The sequence below is a fragment of the Homo sapiens genome, chromosome 1 (genome assembly GCF_000001405.40).
Source record: "Homo sapiens chromosome 1, GRCh38.p14 Primary Assembly".
Classification (NCBI taxonomy): domain Eukaryota; kingdom Metazoa; phylum Chordata; class Mammalia; order Primates; family Hominidae; genus Homo; species Homo sapiens.
The window spans coordinates 202,682,009-202,706,378 of NC_000001.11; the positions used below are offsets into that span (position 1 = coordinate 202,682,009).

Below are 24,370 nucleotides of genomic sequence, written 5' to 3' on the forward strand. Positions count from 1 at the left end.
GTGAGCCACAGCCTTCCTACTCCTCTGAAATCCAGCCTCCCAGACCACTCTGCCCAGAGCCAGCCCAGCCCAGCCACCTCTGTAGCTCCCTGGGTCCCTGTCTTGCCTTGCCAGTGAGACTGACCTCTTGGAGGTTAGGTAGCATTCCCTGCCGTATTTCTCCCCAGCTGCCGGCTGGGAGCCAGGCACACGGGGGTATTCAAGGGAGCACGTTGGCTGACTGAGCAATCTGACGACAGGGTTGGCAGAGCATGATGGGTTGGCTTGTGCATGACTTCTGACTGCCCCTCCCCTGCCTGGCTCAAACACGCCCCCACAGTGGGAAACACAGAGGTACCATCTACGTGGGCATAAACACAAAAAGTTAAATAACAAGCTAAGCCAGCAACAGAAAGGTGTCACAAGGCAGAATACAGCTCATTGTGAAAGGAGGCAGATGGACAAGAAGGGCACAGGTCAGGGAGGAGATGACCATGGTCTAAGTTAGGAAAGCTTCAAGAAGAAGTGTGATTTAATCTGAACCTTAAAGGGGGTGGCTTGAATCAGCAAAAAGGCTGCTAGAGAGATTTCCAGGTGAAGAACACACCTGGACATAGGCGTGGAGTGGCAAAGCACGGAGCGGATTCGGGCCTGGGTGAACTCCTAAACAACTGAGGCACGGGCTCTCTGAGGGTGGGGACAACCGAGAGTCAAGGCCACGGAGCTAGCGTGGAGCTGATCATGGACTAGCCTATACCCTAGATGCGGGGTGGACTTGATCCAATAGGTAGGTGATGGTGGCAACAGGGATCCAATTAGCTACAAACCCAGCCCTTCTGCTTTAAGAGGAAACTCACAAGTGAAGGGTCCATGCCTGGGCCTTCAACAGAGGTGGCAATCATGCCCACAAATCAATAAGAAGAAGATGACCTAGTAGAAACATGAGCAGAAGACCTAAATAGTAGCTTCAATAAAGGATATCCAAACGGCCAATAAGCATTTGGAAAGGGGCTCAATTATTTTAGTCATCAGGGAAGTGCATGTTGAAATGGAAGAGAGATGCCATGTACGCCCACCAGAATGGCTAAAGTAAAAAGACAGAGAATACCAAAACATGGAGGAGCAGGAATTCGCCATCACTACTGGTGGGAGTGTAAGTTGGCAAAAGCATTTTGGAAAATGCATACCCTACAATGACCAAGCAAAACATACATACCCCGTGACCTAGCTAGAGAAATGTGCTTCCCAAAAGGCATGACAAGTATGTTCGCAGCAGCACTAGTCATAACAACCCCAGACTGGAAACAACACAAATGTCATTAACAGTGGAATGGACAAATCAGTTGAAGCACAATGACACAAGGAAATACAACACATCAATGTGGATAAACCATAACTACATGCAACAACAGGGTGCATTTCACAAACATCACACAGGGGAAGAAGCCAGTCACAAAAGAGTGTATACTGGCGAATGTGGTGGCTCTCGCCTGTAATCCCAGCATTTTGGGGAGGTGGAGGCAGAAGGATTGCTTGAACCTAGGAATTTGAGACTAGCCTGGGCAATATAGCAAGACCCCATCTCTACAAAAAATATTTTAAAAATAGCTGAACGTGGTGGTGCATGCCTGTGGTCCCAGCTACTTGGGAGGCTGAGGTGGGAGGACTGCTTAAGCTGAAGGAGGTCAAGACTTCAGTGAGCCACGATGGTGCCACTGCACTCCAGCATGGATGACAGAGTGAGACCCTGTTTAAAAAAAAAAAAAAAAAGAGTGTATACTATATTATTCCAGTTCAAAAACAAGCAAACCTTTTCTATAGTGCTAGAAGCCATGCTTGGGGGAAATTGAGGCATTTCCCATTCACTAAGGATCATTTCCAACCTCTAGAGTGCTGGTGATGTTCTATTTCTTGGTCTGGCTGAAGGTTACCCAGGTGTGCTCGGTTTGTGTATATTCATCCAACTATCAACACTTAGGATTTGTTCACTCTTCTGTGTACATATCATATTAACTATTTATGTTATATATTATAATACATATTTTACTGAAATATATTACAGTAAAAAATTTTAATGTATTTTTGTATATATTTAGGTGTACAATGTGACATTTTAATATACATATATATAGTGAAATCATTACTACAGGTAAGCAGATTAGCCTACCTGTCCCCTTCCATAGTTATCTTTGCTCTTCGCAAATGTTCAGCACATGATTCGGTATGATTAACTGTAGTCTTCCTCCTGTAGATGAGCTACTAGTCCTGCTCATCCTACATGACTGCAAGTTGTACCTTTGACCTCCTTCTCCCCATCCCTGGTAACCATTGATCTACTCTCCGTTTCTATTTATTCAGCTTTTTTTTTTTCAATTCCACATATAAGTGAGATTATACAGTATTTGTTATTCTGTGTCTGGCTTATTTCAGTTAACATAATGTCCTCCAGGTTCATCCATGCTGTCACAAAAAAACAGCATCTCCTTCTTTTTTAAATGGCTAAATAACATTCCATCGTGTATATGCGCCATATTTTCTTTATCCATTCATCAGTGAACTTTAAGTTGTTCCCATATCTTGGCTATTGTGAATAGCGCTGCCATGAACATGGGGGTGCAGGTGTCTCCACTAGCTGAAAAGGGAGCATGTGTAGAACTGTGTCCACGGGAATTTGTCTCTGGGTGTCTCTGCTCCAATGTGCCCCTCACCCGTGATGTATTTGGTTTCAGTTGGTTAGTGAGTTACTTCCTTTGGCCCCTTTATTCTGACTTACCATGTCACTCAGCATGTTGTGAAGCCTACCTTCTGTCCCCACAGGCCATGATGTTCTGATGAAATGCCCCATCCTGACTGATCCATCTCTAACTCACTGACTTCTAGCACTGACACCCAACCCCCCTCTCTGGCACCTGATGCCCTCCAGGACACAGCAGGGGGGATGACATGCTCAAAAGGTATTCCAGGAATATCTGTGCAGCAGTGGGCTGTGGACAGGGTTGGGGGAGTGACCAGCCTAAACTAGGACAAGGGCAGTGGCATGCAGAGGAGGACATGGAAGCCGGGAAGAGAGAGGTTAGACCCAGTGGTCGCCTGTGAGGGGAAGTCTGAGAGTTCAGCCCTGTCCTGGCAAACCTGTCGATGAAGTGGCCACCTGAACAAACAGTGCATTTCCTCCTAAGGAGTAAAATAAACTAAAATAGAGCCATTTCCCACTCACCTGGCTGGTATTCATCATTCTCTTGGTACAGTTCAGTTATAGGTTAAGAGAAATAGAAGAGGGGGCTGTTTAGAAGAACCAGATCTGCACCAGTGCCCCCCACCACCACCTGCTATTCCAGGCCCCCATCCTAACACCTCCATTGCTCACACCAACAGAATTCCATTAGCAATGTGGAGAATCAGTTGAGTTTAATTATTCAAATCCAGGCATCAGGGGCTTTTAAATGAACCCATTCTTTCTTCCAGAATTCTAAAGTCACCAATATTTTAAAAATAAAAGGTCTCAGATCTCCTGGTCTCTCTTGTCAGTGGACACACTGGCATCAGCCCTTCGTTGACCCAGCTTCTTTCCCAGGTAATTCACCGCATCACCCCACCTCACCACATGAAGGGATGCTTGGGCGGGGTGGAAAAGAAAGTTTGAGGGAAATGCTACCCTTGGAAGCCGGTGTCTGGGTGAGATGCCTGCATTATTCCTTTTTAATGCTGGGTTGCAAACTACACCGAGTGTTTTATTTCAATCCACACTGAAGCATATTTCAGGGCAAATTTCCTATTGCCTGTCACAGCTCAGGGGAAAAATGAATGCACATTTCCCCAGCTCCATTAACTAGGGAAACAGGCTCACATTGCTAGAAGGCATGTTTCCTGCAAGCAAGGCGAGGGAATGAGATCATCCGGACACAGTCTCAGAGGCTCTGGGGCATGGGGGTGTGCAGATGCAGGAGCTCTCACCCTCTACACTCCTGGGGAGGAGTGCTCCTGCCAGGAAACCCCCAGGGTAGGGGCAAGCACATCCACCAGAGAGAGGGTCCGCCCGGGAGGACATGACCCTGGGCCCCTAATATGGTTTGGATATCTGTCCCACTCAAATTTAATGTTGAAATGTAACCCCCAATGTTGGAGATGTGGCCTGGCGGGAGGTGTTTGGGTTGTTTGGGTTACCCTGTGGGGGTCCCCCTTCGCCTTCTGCCATGATTGGAAGCTTTCTGAGGCCCTCGCCAGAAACTGATGCTGTCCCCATGCTTTCTGTACAGCCTGCAGAACCGTGAACCAAGGAAACCTCTTTTCTTATAAATTACCCAGCCGCAGATATTTCCTTATAACAACATAAGAATGGCCTAACACAACCCTGTTAACACTTTGGTCCAGGAGTCCTTGCTGTCACCTTCTTGCCTCAGTCTGCCTTCATGTCATCTCTATCTTGTCTTAACCTCAGACAGACAGACAGATAAGGTCTCAAGGAAAGCATTCAGCTCACAGCTTCTCTCTTTCCTTCTTGAAGGTGGATCCCTAATGCCTATGTCCCACTGGCCTGAGAAAGAAGTGGCATGATAATGGGGGGTGGGGGAGCTTCCCACTCTCAGGTCCTCCTGAGGGGCCAAGGACAAGTCCTCCTGGTCATCCTGAAACCCATTCCCTGCACCTCTAGGCCTGGACAGACAACAGCTACTGCTCTGACCAGTTCCCACCCTCTGTCATTCCTACGTCATTGTCCCAAACAGGCCCCTGATGCTAGCTCTCTGCCTCTTCCAAATCATTTTTCATACCCTGCCAAAGGCACGCCCCTCTGCCAGTGTTTGCTTTCCTCTCTAGCTCTTCAAAGCCCACCAAAGGGCTTCACACTTCTGAGTCCTCATTCTTGTGATTCCTTCTGCTTGAAACATGTTCTTCCCTTTGTGCATCTGGAAAATGCCTACTCTTTCTTCAAGCACCAACTCAAGCTCCTGCTCTGTGAAGTCTTCTCTGATTCCCTTGGGCGGACCTGACAGCTCCCCATGCTGAGCTGCAGCCTGACAATCTATATTCACTTACCCTTCTGTATTCAAATGACCTGTTGACGTGCTTGGACTGTGAGTTTGTGAAGGGAAAGGGCTGTGTCTTAAGCATCTTTATATCACCACGGCTTAGCAAAGCACCTGCCCTCCCAGTGTGTACTCCACCAAATGTTTGCTAAATGAATGGCTGAATTCTCACAGGCGCCACTGAGGTGTGTGTCCAGTTCAAGTGCCCTCCCCTCTGAGTCCCCTCCCCCTACGACCCAGCCCCTGGTTTTCTTATCACCCTTGAACTCCAAAAGCCCGTCTTGGGTAAGCTGGCCCCACCTGGCCCTAAGTGCTCCATCCCTGTGACAGGTTTGTGCTGCTCTCTCCTGACATTGTCTTCATCTCTACGTGAGTTACTCTCACTCTCTATCATGTTGCTCAGAGACAGAGCAGAGCCTTGACTCCACGGGGCCACTCTCTTCCTCCCCGCAGAACCTAGCTCTGGGTGGGGTGTGTGATCGACCTTCAGCTGAGCGTGACAACTGCGTGTCTGTCAGACAGAAGAGGCACCTCTGCGGAAGAGGGCCTCCCCTTGACCAGACGCCAGGGAGAAAGAGCCTTATACAGAAGTTACAATGAGCTGAGGTTGCGCCATTGTACTCCAGCCTGGGCAACAAGAGTGAAACTCCATCTCAAAAAAAAAAAAAAAAAAGAAAAGAAAGAAAAAGAAAGAGCTTTATAAATGGTGCAGCCAACAGCATATGCGGCTCAGACCGGGGGGATCAAGGATTCTGCAAAAAAAAGCCTTGCTTTTGTTTAAGAATAGATCCTCTGTTAATTTTTCCCTTTGGGAATCTGTGACATAAAAGCCACCCTTTTTCTCCTCCTGTCTCTTCCTATCTGCCAAGTTCTTTGTACCTAACACTGAACTGAAGCTGAAATAAGCAAGGGAAAAAAAATGTCTTTTCACAATGTCATCACAACTCTGAGGACACATTAACGGGATGGAGGCGGTGCCCTGGATGACAGCATGGGCCTGTGTCATGCTGCAGCCCATCTGGTCAGCGCAGCCCCTCCTGTAGCATAGGAAGAGAGCAGAGACCCCATTTGTGAGCAAAAGCCTGGCTCTCTGGTCACTGACACCCCCCCATACCCAGGGGCTAGCTTTCAGGACAGGACCCAAAATGCTTTAACACTCTACTCTGCAATGTGAACTCTGGCACATCCCTTTACTTTCTGAGTCTCAGCTTCCTCATCTGCAAAATGTGACCTCCCATAGTGGCTCCGTCTTTCTCCTCCAGCCCAGAAGTGTGAAATGAGAGGATATGGGGAAAGCTCACTAAGGTTTTTATTCATTCCTTAGCAGTGATGGCCCTGTCGTTATGCTCTGTCCTGCCCCCGTGGGCGGCACAGTCGAGGGTCTGGAACAGGCTGGGACTGCATAAGGCAGGGGACAGCAGCAGGTCCTCCCTGTTCCCCCTGCAAGGATACTCCGATTCGGTCCCCTGGACAGCAACCAGGTATCAAGTGGAGAAATGTGTCAAGTTGGAGATGAGAGATAGCTACAGAGGGATTTGGCTCTAAACCCAAAATCCTGAATTGCATTTTCCTCTCTGTTAAGCAAGCATTACTCATCCATCACCCACGCCTGCGATTTTACATGAGACCTTGAAGAGAGAGATCTGCAGCCCAAGGAACAAGAGGACACATTCGTTTGCAGCAAGAAGGTCTCCGACTAGAGAGCAGGAAGAACTTCCTGATGGTGGAAGGAGCTTGTGAAATGCTGAAAGGGATGGTTGAGGGCACTGGCCCATCCACGGGGTCTTTTAGAACTGGTGAGCATGGTCTGAGTTGAGTTTTCATTCTTAAAGTAGAGATGTCCCCGGGTGGCCTCCTCACCCAGCCTCGGATGGTGACGGGAGTCACAAAGACAGTGTGGTGGGGGAAAGATCCAAATGGGGAGTCAGGACATGGTGTTCTAGATGTGGCCTGCAGCTCCAGGAAGGTTAACGGCTCACGGAGCAGCTCCAACGGGCCAGCCTCAGCAAGGGAGGGAACTTTCAACCCCCTTGTGGAGCCCGCCCCCAGACTGAATCTCCTGAGACCCCTGAATTACTGGATCTGATCTATAAGGGAAGGGATCGCTCTCCTCCCTGCTGAGCTGTGATCAGGAAAGGCAGGGGCTGGTGTGGCTGGACCACTCTTAGCCCCCTACTCCCTAAGGAAGGGAAGGAGATTAGCACATACCCCTGAGCATACATATTGAGCCCACCACCTCACATGTGCAATGATAAGCCTCAGATCCTCCCTCAACACAAACACGTGTGCACACGTGTGCATACACACACAGATATTCCCATAACCCATCCCCCATCAGGGACCAGCCAGCTCTCTCAAGCACATGGATGCTGGTGGCTGTAATTCTATCCTGGGATCCCAATAACATAATTCCTGCAGAGTCAGTGGGGAAAGTGAGGAGGGGATGAGGTGAGCATGGAGTGGGGAGAAGAGACCAAGGGACTATCTTGGCAAACAGCTCTGTGGAGTGGCCTTGTGGGAGGAGTCCGGCTCCACAACTCACTAGCCGTGTGACCTCAGGCAAGTCATTTAATCCCTCTGAGCACCCCTTCCTCATCTGCATACTAAGGTTGTTCTACAGAGTTATTTTGAGTGTCCAGGGGGCAGGGAACACTGTGGGGGAGCAGGGTTTAACTCATTCTCTGTCCAGCATCAGCATCCTCCTGATCCTCTCAGACATCCCAGGGCTGCAGGCTGCTCCTTTACCACTAGTGATTCCTCCTGGTAGTTCCCCAACATTCTGAATGTTGGGCAGTGTAGACACCCCCACAAGGTAGGTAAGTCAGGTCCCGGAATTAAGGGCCTTTCCCCCTCCCCTGTAAAGTACTTCCCCCGGAAGTGCCCCCCTATCACCCCACAGCTCTGAGTCAGGGAAATCCAGGAGTCCTACACCTACCAGGAGGGCAGCATGAAACATCTGATTACACAAACCTGCCACAGTCCCTGCTGAATATTTCATACAGGAGCAATGATCCATTAGTCACCATCAATTATTCATCTCTGTCAGGGCCAGAGCTGGGGACGCAGCAACGGAACAGCTGGAACTGAGACCTACACCCACTCTGCCTCCACTCCCCCTGAAGGCAACCAACAATCTCTCCTACACCCCACCCACCCACGGTCCTACTGAGCGCCCACCTCTGAAAAGTGTATGCAGTCATCAGATGGATACTGCCCCACTGAACAGATGCCCAGCAAGTCACAGGCCAAGCTGAGCCTGGGACATAGGAACCTCACAATGAAGATTTCCAAGAAAAGAGAAATAGACACGCTCTCTTTATCAAGTTTGACAAGCATGCATGGCAGCAGGTTGATGTAGCAGAGGTGGCTGGGCAAAAAGTACTGGGCTGCATGTTCCTGAGAAAGACACCCACTGCTAGCCCTGCTCCAGCGCCATTCTAGAGGTCTCCTTTCTTCACAAGAGGTTACAGATACATGGATTCTCAGAGCCAAAGGGAAAAGAGCCTCAAGCCCAAGCCATCAGTGCTGCATGAGTCCCTCCAGTAATCTAACAGTTTAATGGTCCCTGGCCTCTGCTGAGACATGCTCAAGGACAAGGTGGTCACATCTCCTGCGGCAAGCCACCAAGTCTCTGGACGGTTCTAATTCTTCAATATTCATTCGACAACTATTTACTGAGTATCTTCCAAGTGCTAGGCACTGAATAAGGCACTGGGTTTACAACTAAAACAGACTAAGTTCTTGCTCTATTAGAATTGTCTTCCTAAGAGTGAAGGAAAACAATTCTAATAGTCTCTGTGTAACTTGTGCTTCCTTGACCTAGAAGATAAGATCCTCTCTAAGACCCAAAGCCTTGGGCTCACTGCAGTAAGACTAAGTTCCAGGGTCTTGTGCCCTGGAACTGCTCCCGTATCTGGGCAATGCTTTTCAGGTCCAGACTTGACCACGGATACTCCTGGTATTTGAGGTTTAAGCCTCCAGTTCTCGTCCTACTCACACATGCACACAACAGTCTTCTCTGCTAAGCAAGAGTCTGCCTCCACTTCGTCCAGACCCCTCCGCCCCCTAAGAAATGGTCACTTGGCATCTCTGAAGGGAGCTTAAAAGCAGGAGCTTCTTTCTGAAAGGGGAGATAGGCGGTAACCTAAATATTGCCTGAAATTTCCCCTTTTGTGTTCGGCAGGTTGTGGAGGGTTCCAAGTGATCCCACTCAGTATACAGAGCCTGGGCTAGCTTTCCCATGACCAAAGGGATGACAGTTACACCTTCTGCTCCAGGCTAAGTGCCCTGGGCCAGAAAACAAGGAGGGCTTGAATTCTCAGTTGGTGAGAGGCATGGTGAAGACATGTAGATTGGCCAGGCACGGTAGCTCACACCTGTAATCCCAGCACTTTGGGATGCCAAAGTAGGAGGATTGCTTGAGCCCAGGAGTTTAAGACCAGACCTGGGCAACACAGTGAGAGCCCGTCTCTATAAAACACTTAAAAAACTAGCCACATGCAGTGGTGTGCACCTGCAGTTCCAGCTACCTGGGAGGCTGAGGCAGGAGGATCACTTGAGCCCAGGAGGTCGAGGTTGCAGTGAGCTGAAATCATGCCACTGTACTCCAGCCTGAGCAATAGAGAAAGACCCTGTCTCAAAAAGGGAGGGAGCGAGAGGGGGAGGGAGCGAGGGGGAGAGGGAGAGGGAGAGGGAGAGGGAGAGGGAGAGGGAGAGGGGGGGAGAGAGAGAGAGAGAGAGAGAGAGAGAGAGAGAGAGAGAGAGAGAGAGAGATGGGAGAGGGTGGGAAGAAAAGGAGCTGGAGAATAGAGGAGAGTTCCCTCCTCCCTGCAGGTTTCCTGGAGCCTGGAAGCAGAGGATGACCCTATTCAGATGAATCAAGAGGCCAGAAATGTGGTGCAGCCCTGCTACAGGCATACAAGGACACAGCTACCGTCTGGCACTCTATTCTCTCTCCCACCATCAAAGCACCCCCAGCCCTCATAGCTCTGGAGAGCTGCCAGTCTCTGCCCAGCACTCCACTCACATCTGGCTCCACACCACTCTATCCAGCCATGCTTCCTCCTCCCACTGCAGGCTGTTCCCACTGCAGCCCAGCTCTCCTACTGAAGTGGTGTCACTGCGACAGAGGGAGGGAGGGAGAGCCCAGATCTGGTACCCTGCTCTGACCTGACATAGAGAAGCCTTGGCTCTCCCCTCTAACCCCTATGTAGCTTGCTCCCCTCCAGGCGTGCTTATTCAACTCCAGCCTCATTTGGAGGCCCTATCCCCAGCTAAGCTCACATGCCCACTACCTGCCACAAAAACCTACCTAGCCCACCAAGAAAGGCTGCATTTTGCCTATGGGTGGGGCAGGCAATGAGGTATCTGGGATAATAAATATTACAGGGAAGAGTCCCCTGCTCTAAACATTTCAACAAGCTGGAGAAAGATGCAAGGCGCTGACTTTGGGAGAACATTGCCAGATTGCAGGACCTGAGGTCATGGCTTTCTATCACCTACAGGTTAAACTGGCCCCACTCTAACTCAGGCCTTGCATGTTAAGATTACTTTTAAAGACTTTCTGGAAAAGGCAATCATGGACACTCAGGCTCAGAGTGTGATTGAGCTTGGAGCTCATCCTCCTCATTTTACAGATGAAAAAGTGGGGCCCGTAAAGAGGAGGTGGCTTGGCTAAGATGTTACAGTCAGTAAAGGGCAGAAACAATGTTATACAACACTAGTTTTCTCCTCAGCCAGCTTCTACCTCCAAAATTGGAAAGTTAGGGCTGGGGGCAGTGGCTCACACCTGTAATCCCAGCACTTTGGGAGACCGAGGTGGGAAGATGGCTTGAGCCCAGGAGTTCAAGACCAGCCTGGGCAACATAGTGAGACTTTATCTCTACAAAAAAAAGTTTTAAAAATATTATTGAAAAAGAAAGAGGAGGTTAATAAGGCAGGAGAAGGAGGGGGAGGAAGTTAATAGGACTCAGCTTAAAATTTTTTAAAAATTTCAATAGGTTTTGGGGGAACAGATGGTGTTTGGTTACATGAATAAGTTCTTCAGTGGTGATTACTGAGATATTGATGCATCCATCACCCGAGCACTCAGCTTTTGACCCTACTGTCTGTGAGCAGAGGAGGGCAGCACTGAGCTCTGTCCATGGTGCTGAACCTCCCCATCTGGAGAAGCCATGGCTTGCATTTCTAAATACTGTTGGGGTTTCCAGAATTGCAAGGGTGCTACGGAGGATTCAGGGGCAAATTGATGACACAATCCAAGAGGCCATTTAAGTGAAGGTGGCAGAGACTAATTCCAAAGAGATAAATAGGCAGACCATATTTCAAGACAGATACCCTTCAAGACCATGGGGAAGGGTACAGTGCACAGTTCAAACCTCTCATTTCTACTCATCGCCTGCATCTGGGCATGACCACCTGACCCTACAATACTGAGATACAAGTCCTTTCAGAGAAGCTGAGTATGAGAAAACAGCATGACTTATACTGATGACTGAAACAGCCAAAGGGGAAACTTTCTAAGAAGGAAGCCACTGGAAGGGCAAGAAAAATTTGGAGCATGTGTAACAGGATTTGGGGCGATTTAGATAGGTCCTGCCAAGAGGCTGGAGGTTTGGAATAAAGATCTTTCAAGGTCATACCTCCAAAGTCCAGGATCATGACTGTGACCCTCCTGTGGGTCCCTGGAGTCAAGTTTGGGACAGTATCAAAAAAAAGATGCACTGTCCATTCCTCCTCTTGTTGCTGAGATTGTGTTAGTCCATTTTTGCATTGCTACAAAGAAATACCTGAGGCTGGTAAGTTATATTTTTAAAAGATGTTTAATTGGCTCATGGTGCTTCAGGCTGTATAGGAAGCATTGCACCAGCATCTGCTTCTGGGAGGACTTCAGAAAGCCTACAATCATGGTGAAAGGTGGAAAGGCAAGCAGGCACATCACATGGCAAGAGCCAGAGCAAGGTCGGGGGGTGGTGCCACACACTTTTAAACATCCAGATCTCTCATGAACTCAGAGCAAGAACTCACTCATTACCACGAGGAGGACACCAAGCCATTCATGAGGGATCTGACCCCATTACCCAAACACCTCCCACCCGGCCCCACTTCCAACACTGGGGATCACATTTCAACAAGTGATTTGGAGGGGATGAACATCCAAGCCATATCAGAGTTTTATGCATTTTCTAGCATAAATCCTTAGATGCCCCTGGGATACATGTGTAATGGTATCAGATTTGTGTTAGAAAAAAGGAGCTGAGTCTATCCTGAGCCCCAGACTGGCATTCCTGCTGAAAGAATCTAGAAGCTGCATTCTTCACAAGGCTTGGACTCTTCTTTTTCCCTTCAATATTGAGGGTGGATGACTGTGGCTTGCTGGCAGGGCAAATGTTCAGCATGTGTAAACAGACCACATACAAAGAGGCTGTTTTAGTAGGCGATGCACAGAATCCTGAATTTAAGTGGGCAGCCTGCCCACGTGGTGAGGGACACCTGCCTGCCCTATTGCAGGCTTGACTATCATAACTTAAGTCTCCTGAGGCTGAATTTACACACACACACACACACACACAAAGCCACACACCATCCCTAACTACAGCAATAACATTACGGCACTGATAAAGGAAGGGGTTCCGCCCTGCTAAGCCCTATTATGTCCAGCATTATTCACCACCACCTCCTCGTCCTTTCCCTCCTCCTTCTCCTCTTCCTTCTTCTCTTTGTTCCTCTTTTTCCTCTTCTTCCCCTTCTTATTCCTCCCTCTACCCCTCTCCTCTCCCTCCTCCTCCTCCTTCTCTCCCCTCCGACACTTTAATATATTTATATAAGTTGACTGGTTGACAACTGTGCATACATTCTTCTCTCCAACATGTCTATACCCACACTCATATAAACCTTTGGCTGGAAGGAATCATGATAGTCAATTTACCTTTTCTCAATATCTATCCTATCCCAGACCAGTCTTCTCTGCGGAAGGTCTCACCCCCTGCTTGGTCTTTTGTTACAATATCTAACCATATTTAGTGTTTGAAAATTCCTCCTCATATCTACCTAAAATCCTTCATGTTATAGGTTAATCCCATGCCTTTGTGACCTTATGAACCATTTTTTGAAGGTGTAGAGCACCTTCCTCAGTAGAAGTGGAAAGCAAGTTGTCATTGGACCTTTTGTAATCTGCAGACAGACACAAGCATTAATGCAATACACCCCTGCTCACACACACAGGGAGACCTGTGACCCCTGGTAACAACAAAAAGTCTAAGGACACAAAGAACCCTTGGGAGGGCATCTGACCCATCACCTTGATCTAGAGATATAACTGCCTCAGGGCCTCCTGAAGAAAAGGCTTCATGGCAGCCCAATCCCACAACTTCAAGGAACCCATCTCCAGCCCTTGTTTCTAGGTCTGAAACATGAAACTCCCTGGCCTCCCTTACCCTCCAAACCCAGCCTCCCCGGCTCCCGCAGTGTCAGCAACTAATACACTTCTCAGAGCCATATTTATATTATGGCAGGACAAGAGAGCAAAGGTGTAATTGAACTCGATTTGATTGAGTGTGACAACTGCACAGTTAGCCACAAGTGTCATTGAGAGATGTGAATTGGGGATAGTTTATGGTCAAAAATTCATTTCCAAGGGGACCTGGCATCTTCCTCTCACAGACATCCAGACAGCACTGACATCAGTGGCAACGTGAGGAGAAGAGATTCATGGACTTGTCTGAGGAAGAGACCTTGTAAGGTCATCTATCGCCCCTGCCTCCATGCAAAACATCTCCCACTGAAAGGCTCTTTCTCTGCCTTTCTGAAACATTTATATGACACTCTCCCTTACACCTCTTTAATCACCTGCCAGTTGTCTCAGTGCTATAAGCAAGTGCATCTGCCATGTGCACTCCTCCATTTGTGATACCACGGTCCCGACTCTGGGCTTGTTCTTCTCCTCCCTCCTGCTCTCTGGAGTTAGTGGACTTTTCAGCCCTGTTTCTAAATTCCTTTCTCAGTCTCCAGTGGAAAAACTATAGTTTGCCTTTGGAAACGTCTAATGTTTTTCTGAGACTCTGGGAAGGGACTTCAGGGATTTTTCTAGTCAAATCTCCTCATTTTACAAAGGATGGAACACAGAAAAGAGAGAAAGTGACAAGTTCACGGTCACCTGGGGAACTAGAGGCAGAGCCAGAAATTCCAGTCCCCTTTACAACCCAAATCGTGCCTCCCAGCTCAGAACTCTTCCTATTGACCCTTCCAGGGGTGGTGTAACATATGTACCAGGTGCACACACCCCTGGCAGTGCCAGAGAGTGGATCTGACACCCCATGAAAAGACCCAGGATGCCTATGGTGGCTGCCTACAGAGCCCAGACATCATGGTGGCCATGCACGCATCATGTTCCCCACCCTGCTAAGCCCCCATTATAAACACTCAAAGTATTAAGCACTTTTTACTTCATTCCAATGATCATAATTGTAATTAAATAATTGTAATTAAATAAACAATCGCATGATTATTTTAATGTCTTGCTTCCCTCTGCCTGTAAGAGGCATGAGGGCAGGAACTGTCTGTTCCGTCTTCATCACAGTTGCACAGAGAGCTTGCTCCACGAATGTGTTCCTTGGATAAATGAATGAATGACTGAGTGGGAGCCTAGGGAAGTGTGGCCTGAGGCACATGGGAGCCTGACCAGTGTCACACAGATGAAAAGCTGCAAGGCCAGGGGTCCCAGCTTCTAGTCCTGGCCCCAACACTGAGGAGTGAGTAGACGTAATATCATGAATTTTCCTTCTCTACAGAACTTTGGACAAAAAAAGGCATCTTAGCACTATGGAATGTATTTGAAGCAGGGGGATCAGGTGAGCTCTTCGCATTGGTGCAAGGATTTAATGAGTCTATCTGCCTTCATCCATACCTTTCCTCCCCATCACCTCTCCCCCACCACCTCTGTCATTAGGACAGTGACCTAAGTCCCAAGCTTTGGTCCCAGACACATGGTCTCATTCACCTTCCTACCAAGCCCCCATTTCTGAGGACAACAGCCCCTATCAATGCTGCCTCCAGTAAGTGTTCCACTAACGGCCGCAGCTGAGCAAGCTTCACTGAGAGCATTAGCTCCTAACGGCAGATGGCAGCTGCCACAGGGTCTGGAAAGGCAGCAATGGTTGGGGAAGCCACAGGTCCAAAGTCTGCAAGAAAACCACATAACTACAAGGCACCAAGCCAGAACCCAGCCCAGGATCTCACATGGAGCAGTCCTGAGCCCAGCCGGTAAGTGGCGTGTGGACCAGGAGAGGGGGCCAGCGTCACCTGAGCAGTCTCCTTCCAGCTGGAGATAAGGCCTCAGGTTCAATTTCATCCCCACTTTCCAAGGAATGTGAGAGGGAGGCACCTCTGCCCATGGGCAACCTGCCAAGAGCCATGTGTGTGGCCTGTTTGCATCGGTACACGAACTTGTGTAAAGTTGTGAGTCTTCCCTACTCTGAGCCGAATGTCCTGACTTGCTGCGAACCTCACGCAAGAAGGAAATGCTCTCTGAAAGTAGGGCAATGGCCAAGACCCAGAAGGGGCTGTTTGAGGAATCTGTCCAGTTTATTTGGGAGAAGAAAACAGCCAGAGCCTTGTATCCCAGGACTCAGGGTCCCAGGGGTCTCGATCTGCTTTAGGTGTCCTCACCACTGACACACACAGACACACACAGCAACTATGTGTGCTGATGAGTGTGCTGATTAATTTGATTGTAATAATCACCATATAAGGTATATGTATGTCAGATCATTACATTGTGCATCTTGAATGTATACCATTTTTATTTGTCAATTACACCTCAATAGAGCTGGAAAAAATAAAATGTTAAATTTATAAAAAGAAAACCCTACCCTAGGAAGACTGCTCCAGTCTGCCTCCAAGCACTTCCACACTCACTATTGATTTCTTCCTTGCTGATAGCTGCCAGGCCCAGGGTCTGTCTGCAACACAGCTCCTTGGTACGGACAGGAGGAGCCAGAGGGAAAGAAAACACAGCAGGGGATGCGGGGAGGGTGAAGGATCAGGGATCCGGTTCCTGCGTTAGCTGGATGACCTCCACAGGGCAGCGTCCAGGGTCTCACCACCCCCCCAAGGAAAGTTCACTCTGCTCAAGTGACCCCTCTCACCACAGGGAATACTCTCCCTTTCATCTTTTACCATGTCTAGGTCTTTCCCCATGCCTGGTCTAAAATGGGTGCTAGAAGCAGCCCCTACAGAGAGGTACCTGGACAGCAGTACAGTCAAGGTTGGCCAAGCTGGAGAAGGAGCCACGTGCCAGGGCAATCAATTACCCAGCCCTGTGCCCGCTGAAGAGCAGAGAGACGTGTGCTCCCCATTATGCCAGGTATGCCTGGGTAGACATCTGACCTCGTCTGAAGGCGGTTCCTCCACCATCCTGCAGAGCCTCCCCGCCCTCCGCTTCACTCATCCTCCCAGGAAGAACTGACCACATTCTCTCAGTGCCAGAGCCACAAAAGCCACAGAAGGGACATGAAGACTGCCTGGCCTTCCTGTGAAAAGAGCAGTCATCCTTGGAGGTTGGAGTGCTAAATGGTAACTACAGCAGGCAGTTGTCTAGGCAGACAGTCCAGACTCTCCATCCAGCTCTCAGCTTTTCTCTGTGGCCTCTGAACTATGTACACCGACCCCCAGACTCACCAGGCAGAACAGGAAGGGTGGATAGGAATAGGAAATAGGCACTCAGTACAGCAAGAAGAATGTGGCTAGACACAAGAAAGAACTTCCTCACTCTTAGGGGTCACCAGGGTTAAGGACTGATTTTACTTCCTAGAGATTGTACTTTCCAGCAGACAACTCTTAGAGGGCCTGCTCAATGAGGAGCTTTAGGTCCCCTACAAAAGACAGGCCAAGGGAAGCACTTCAGGTCCCCCATTTGTGGAGGATTTCAGTTCTGAGGGGGCTGGGATCTAGGTTTCCTCTGCATCCAGAGCTGTGTGGATAGAACCAGTAACCAAACTGTCTTTTTTTTTTTTTTTTTTTTTTTGAGACACAGGGTCTTGCTCTGTTGCCCAGGCTGGAATGCAGTGCAGTGGTATGATCTTGGCTCACTGCAGCCTCAACTTCCTGGGCTCAAGAGATCCTCTTACCTCAGCCTCCCATGTAGCTGGGAATACAAGCATGCCACCACGTCCAGCTAATTTTTTTTATTATTTGTAGAGATGGGGTCTCGCTATGTTGCCCAGACTGGTCTTGAACTCCTGGGCTCAAGTGATCCTCCTGCATTGGCCTCTCAGAGTGCTGGGATTACAGGTGCGAGCCACTGCACCCAGCCTCCAGTGCCCAAATTGGACTGGCACAACCAGCTCTAGAGAGAGTCCCACAAACACCAGCCTGCGGCAGGGCATTTGTCCATGGTCCCCAAACAGTGGACCACCTGACTCCCTTCTCTGCAGTGTGCAGCATGAGCAGGGTGTGGCACTGGGACAGACAAACTTGAATCTGGATGTTATTCTGCCACCCAATAGCAGTGTCACCTTGAGGACATTTATTTACCTTTCTGGGACTATTTTTCTCTGTAAATAGGGGTAATAGATCATGTACTCTAAAACTGGATTGTAGTGATAGCTGTATAATGTTGTAAATTTACTAAAAATCACTGAACTGTACACTTAAACCAGGTGAATATTATGATCTATAAATTATACTTCAATAAAGCTCAGGCTTGTTATAAAGAAAAAATGACAGAATATACAGGGAGCTTTTTTATCCAGTGTATGAACATTTGCTGAGGTCCTGCTGCACAGGCACTGGGCTCTACCGGCTGAGAGGCTCCATCCAGCATGGTCTCGTATGTCGGTTTTCCCTTGATCACCGTTGAGTTGATTGCTTGCCATGTATTCTTTGAGAAGTCACATTCCCTCTCTGGGCCTTGTCTTTAAAATAAAGAGCTGGACTACAAAGTTTTGAAATCTTTGGGAAGCCTCAAACCCCTTCCTTTAAACAGAAGCTTAAGAGAATTCCAGTATAAGAACCTCAATAGGCAAGGCAGATAAACGCAGGGTTGCTCTGGTGAAGGTAGGGGTTGGGACAGTCAAGGGGGACTCTCCCTAGACACCCCTCTCTCCCAACTCCAAGAAAAGCTCCCCTCTCCAGGCAGCCCTGGAGGGAGCCTCATCCCCAGAGGCCACCTGGAAGCCAGGGGCTAGGTGCTCCCTGGGCTCCCTCCACCCCGTGCAGCTCTGGACTTTTCTGTTCCATGCAGCCTGCCCAGCAAGGCTGCCAGGCTGACTCTGGACTTCTGAGATACAGAGAATGCCCCCAGGTTCTGCCCTGTGACACGAAGCCCCGCACTCTAGGGGAGCATGAGGTCCTTACTAAGCATTCACTGTGTGCCCGGCTCTGGGCTGGGCTTCACCTAGGACAGCAGTTCTCAAACCTTTTGGTTCTAAGACCCGTTTATTGAGGACCCTCCAAGAGCGTTTTCTTATGTAAGTTAGATCCATCCATAGTTACCATATTCAAAATTAAAACTGAGAAATTTCTAAATTAGCTCAAAATACAATAGTAACTCATTACCTGTTAATACAACATATTTAATAAGTAACTATATTTTCCAAGACCAAAAAAATATATAGTAGACGTTTTCTCTAGTAAAATATCTAGTAAGAAGGAGGCCTTGTTTCACATCATTGCAAATCTCTTTAATGTGTGGTTTACTAGAAGGTAGCTAGAGTTTTATATCAACTTCGGTGTTCGGTCTGTCTGCAATACATTACTTTGATTGAAAGATGAAAGAAAATCCAACCTCACTCAGATATGTAACTGGAAAGGGGAGGGGTATTTAATAAAGCCTTTTCAGATCATTGTGGATATTTTTCTTTGATATGACATCACTGCTCCCCAAGTGGTAGCTTCTTAAAGACTGGCTGCAGTGGGGAATCTGAAACCTTGCACTTGGAATGCTTGTTTGCCTCTGTGCATGATTTTGTGACATCATTCATTTATCATTTCGAAGATATTGGCTTGCCGAATTGTGAAGATCTTTCAAATATTGATGAATTTCATTAAACAATATTAACAAATCACATCTATTACTATTCCCACTGATCTTATCACAAAAGTCCTTTTCATAGTAATATGTGTGAGTTTTCCAAAATTCTAATTTTTGCTTGAAAGCTTAAATTTTATCATTGGCCACAAATACTGCCAGTTGTTTTTCTGGAAGTGACGAGCTCACTTCGTTCATTTTTGCAAAAATGCCTGCTCAACACCCAAGTCTGAATAACTGGAGTTTGTTGGTTGTTCTTTCAGATAAAATGGTATCCCATGGAAAAATGGCTAGTTCAGCCTGCAACTCAAACAGATGCACAGGTGATGGGCACTGTTCAGTTGCTTGAGAAATTATTGTGTAATATTTCTGTAAGAAGCAGAAGTGCTTTATGTGTACTTCTCATTCCATCACAGAGAATATTAAAAAGATGTGCACTCCAGAATCAAGCTTCAATATAATTATAATCTTTGCTGCTTCATGAAAAGAAGACATTCTTAACTGAAAATGGCATTTCATTATTTACCAATTACTTTGCTTAGCGGGTGTGTAGTGTGGAAGAACACAAAGACGGGTGCAGTGTGATACTATTACCTTGATTCATGGTAAGGTGCCAGCAGCTTCACCCACCACTGCTTTAGCACCATCAATGTCAAGCATGGGAATGGCAAATAACTTTATTGCCATCATGGAAACTGCTTTGACCTTATGGACCCCCCTGAAAATTCTTAGGGACTCCCAGGGACCCGTGGCCCCCATCTTGATTACTGCTATAAGGTAAACTTCACAAGGGCCTGTTCCCTGTGTGTTACTGTCTCCATTTTCAGATGAGGACCCCGAAGTTCAGAAAGTTTAAGTAACTTGCCCAGGGTCACACAGGCAGGAAGTGGCAGTCTTGGTTTGACCTAGGCCATCTGACTCCCAGCCACACACACGCTGCTTCAGTTATGCCCTACAGAACATGCTGTGGGGGCCTCTCCTCTGCCCCTTCCCCATTGCCTCACCTCCTGAGGTCTTTGGGGCTCACGATCTACTCCAGGGGAGGCACGAAGACACCTCCAGGTTTGCAGTGGTGAGGACCTGGGCTTCTATTACTGTCTGCCCCAGGGCACCCCTGCCACCCTCTACCAGTAGGAGACCTAATGGGGGTGGAGCACGCCTCCCTGGGAAGCCTCAGACGTCTGGGGCTGGCTTGCCAATGGCAGGCTCAGTTCTTGATGCTTCCCTGCCTCCTGCAGCTGCAGCAGCAGCAACCAGCACAGTTCCCAGCATCAAAGAGCTAATCCAATTTCTCAGCTGTGCTTCCCCCTTCGCCTCCTGCAATGCCAGGATTGATTTGGAAACAGGGCAGCCTTATTAAAGTGATGCCTTTTCCTACTCGTGGGAGAGTCAAACTGGGAGAGGGAGCCCTCCCACAGCCAATTAACTCCATGCTTCCCGCTAACACTGATCCTAGCCACAGCCACCCTTGAGTTTCCTGGGGTTTACCTGTAACTCTTCTTAGCTCCTAGTGGTGAGGATGGATTTCAGTCCTAGGTCTGCTTCCCTCCAAGACCCAAGAGCACTTAACCAATAGGTTCTTGTTCATCCTTCCTGCACTTCTAGAGGGTTGCCTGGGTGGTCCCCTCTCCTCCTGCTTGCAGGCCTCCACCCCGTCTCCTAACATCCCATCTTAGGCCCTATGACCGGGCCGTCACTTGGTCCATCTGAGTTGGTACAATGAAAGATACATGGCAGACAGCCCCAAGAGGGATAGAGGTAAAGACCTGTACATTTGTTAAATGGGCTTTTCTCCAAATAAACACAGGAGGCAGAAGACAAGGACAGTCCTCAGAGACCTCTACCACCCTCAGCCCAAGCCCCTCTCCAGGCCCCCCTCCTTGCGGCCTCACAGCTCTCCTCTAATCTAGGGAGTTAAGGTGTAGCAGAAGCAGAGAAGGCCCCGCTCCAGAAAATGCTTCCTTTCTACAAATAGCATAAAAACTGCTTCCCGAGTCACTTTGTAGAAGAGGAAGGACATGCACAACACATCTGGATCATTAGTTCAGACTGGAATCAATGGTGAGGAAAAGAGATTTCTCTCAAACCACCCAGCCCTTAGGGAGCAGAGGTTCTCTGGGAAGGTCTTTGGAGCTCAGAGCACTGGCTGACCTTGGGGAAGGCATTTCTGGTCTGGAAAGGAAAAAATGAGCACCACCTCTTTGACGCTACCACCCTCCCACCCCCGGCCACCGCTCCCCTCCCTCCGCCGCCCATACACATGGCCCTACCCAGCTCAGCCCTGCAATACCACAAATGCCTCATTTGACTTCAGAGGAAAATGGAGCTAAGAGTAGGAGTGAGGAAGGGAGTAAAAAGAAGGGCGGGGGAAGGAACAAGTGGGGAGGGAGAGATGAAGGTACAAGGTACCCTCTCCTGTCTCTCACATGCACACTACTGCAGGTGGTTACAACTCTTTTCTGTTTCTCCACAGCTGAGCAGGAAACTGGGAGAAGAGCCCTTCTCCCCTGCAGCCTCTCCCTCTTGGCCTCCATCACCACTCTCCTAACCCCTGCCAAGCCCTGCATCTGATCCTACCTGAGCTAAAGAAGCAGAAGGTCCGGAGGGAGCCTGTGATTTTTGCCTCGGTCACCTCTTACAAATGCGGTGGGCTGCTGGGCTCGCCCTAACCCTGCATCACCCCCAGGCTGCTCCTTCAGTCTACTCGGGTATGGAAAGGGTTAAGCTCCTCCCATCCCCTCCTTCCTTCATCCCATTTCTCCATTCACTTCTATTTTCCCATATGCCTAGTGCCAAGCTCACAGTTACAACCACTTACACCCTGTATTAAGATGCATGGAATAGTAATGGGTAAATTCCGTCTCTAATTGCAATATTTCCTAATTACTAAATTCCAGAGCCACTGTATCAACCCAATTATGGCAAGTCCTGCCAGAGTTCTCCATGGTCTGAGGACTCCCTGCCTTACTGAGAGGCACCTGACAAATGCCTCGGGGGAGCTTTCCTGACTCCCCACCCAGCTGCTGTCCTCCCCTGGTCCCAGACTGTCCAGTGATGAGGCCCTTGGGCTTCTAGTTTCTCTGCAGGGGATGGGAGGAAGTGAAGCAAGCTTTGTGATTGAGGAAAGCCTTGTGTTGACAGGCGACTATCCTGGGGTTGGAGAGCATCTGGGAGCCCTGTCACTCTGCACCAGCCACCATCAATGCTCCCAGCTTCAGAACTCCACTTTGGGGGCTAGGGGGACCCAGGAGAGGAGGAGAAACAACATGCCCTGGCCTTGGGGAGCGCCCAGGCTGATAGAGGAGACACGGTTATTTTGAGTTCTCCTTTACATCCCAGGTGCCTTTTACAGAGTAGGTGCTTAGTGCATTGGAGTGGAACGTGGAGGAAAAGGCGGGAGGAAAGTAGGAAGTAAGGAAGGAATGGGGTGCTCTGGCTCAGGCTGAGTTTAGACTCTGGCTACACCTGCACGCAAGGGTTGACTTTTGGGCTGTGAGTCCCATAGGGATCTGACTTCTCAGGTCTGGAGTCTCCGAAGGAGAGAAGCAGTCACACACCCACTAACTCCCATTCTCCCTGCCTTTGCAAGGGGCCCTCCTCCCCAGCCCACCCCTAGGACCCTGAATACACACATATGCACACACACACGGCTGCTGGGCTTCAGAGGAGCCGTTTAATTGCCGAGTTGAAACCTGCAAGGGCTTTTGGTGCTGATGACATCAGCATGCCATCACAGATAGGGCTGCTGAGGCTGGAGCAGCTCTGGATTCAGCGGGGTGTCCCATCATGCACTCAAGACTGCCCACCCTGGGGCCTCCCTCCTTGCTTCAGAGCAGGTGTTCCTGAAGGAGGTGCCAGAGCCCTTATGGAGAGCCCAAGGAAACCCAACATCAGGGAGGGAGAGCTGATTCAATTCCTCCAAGGAATCACTGCCTAATTTTTGTAAAGGCTGCTGCCTGATTTAAATCACCCAGCCTCCTGCTTCTACTCAACGCGTTAGTGGCCTCATCCCAAGGACCCGCACCTGTATTCTCGGGCTCCATTTGCCATAGGTAGAGCTGGTGAGAAGCGGCGAGGAGAGGAGGAAGGGTTCTGACCACTCAGCTGCTGTGGCCTGGAAGGCCCCCTGCAAAGTGCCTATGATCTGGGGATTTTGAACAACCACACAACTTCTCTGGGGATTTTGAACCACACAACTTCTCTGGGCCTTTGCCCGTTCATTGTAAAGTGGGGACAGCGATGGCGTAGCCGAGGACTGCAGTGATGAGAGCTTGACCGCCCTTGTGAGCCGCTCTATCCCCGAGCAGGGGAGCAGGAGGCGCAGGGAGGAGCCCTGAGGTTCCCTGTTGTGCGGGACCCACACTGACTTTGCCCTTTCTTATGCCTGATGCTTAGTGTTACTGACAGCAAAAGCTGAAATCCTGAGGTCCCCGGCTAAAGTGACCAAGGAAGGGCCTCTCCTGACTTTACAGCAGCAGGTAACCCCCCTTTCTTTCAGATTTGGAGGCTGCTTGGCCATTTTAATGGACCCTGCTACTCACATCCTACTTCCCTAAGTGTGAGGGGCTTTCAGAATCTAACCTCCTCCCTGGCACTCAGCCAGCAGGGACTTTATCCTCATCAGAAAATGATCCAGGGAGGAAGCTTCTACAATATCTACTGCTCATCTTGGATTTTGGGAGTCCTTTTTTTTTTTTTGAGACCGGATCTCACTGTTTTCCAGGCTGAAGTGAAGTGGCATGACCATAGCTCACTGCAGTCTCGACCTCCTGGGCTCAGGCGATCCTCCTGCTTAACCTGGTGTGCCACCATGCCCAGCTAATTTTTAAATTTTTTGTAGAGACAGGGTCTCCATATGTTGCCCAGCCTGCTCTGGAATTCCTGGGCTCAAGCGATCCTTCTACCTCAGCCTCCCAAAGCGCTGGGATTACAGGTGTGAGCCACTGCACCTGGCCTGGGGAGTCCTTCTGGATGTTTAATTTTAGACCCAGCCTCTCTAGGGGAGGGGGCTGGCAGCTAGGTGTTCCCCTGCCCTCCAGGCTCACAGTGACTCTCAGGTCCCTCTGGGCCTGGATCCAAATTTACCCATCACTCTGGCTACTTCCTTGAACTGTCAGTTCCAGAGATGAAAATGAAGGATTGCTGGGACAAATCCTTCCCAGAAATCAAGCTTTGGCAAGAAAAGACTCATTAGGCATAAAAACCGTCTTCGAGTGAGGGGGATGAAATGCAGGACTGACCACCAAGACGGTGAGGGCAACTCCTTCCCTTGAGTTTTAAGAATATCAAAGGTGGACAGTGCTCCCTGCAGCTGGAGAACCCAAGACAGTGTTGTGTGTGT

General features: G+C 49.0%; 1 protein-coding gene across 2 annotated transcripts in view, besides 1 other annotated feature; it reads right to left on the bottom strand.

The window, feature by feature from the left end:
- Positions 1-24,370, bottom strand: part of SYT2 (synaptotagmin 2) — a 119,859-nt gene that overhangs the window by 91,413 nt on the left and 4,076 nt on the right. The gene's annotated exons all lie outside the window — the stretch shown is intronic.
- Positions 20,159-20,658: an enhancer, noted in NCBI's record as "H3K4me1 hESC enhancer chr1:202671295-202671794 (GRCh37/hg19 assembly coordinates)". NCBI's record gives its function as "activates a minimal SCP1, AML or CMV promoter by ChIP-STARR-seq in primed H9 embryonic stem cells {active_cell/tissue: H9 hESC(primed)}" and the evidence as "EXISTENCE:reporter gene assay evidence [ECO:0000049][PMID:30033119]".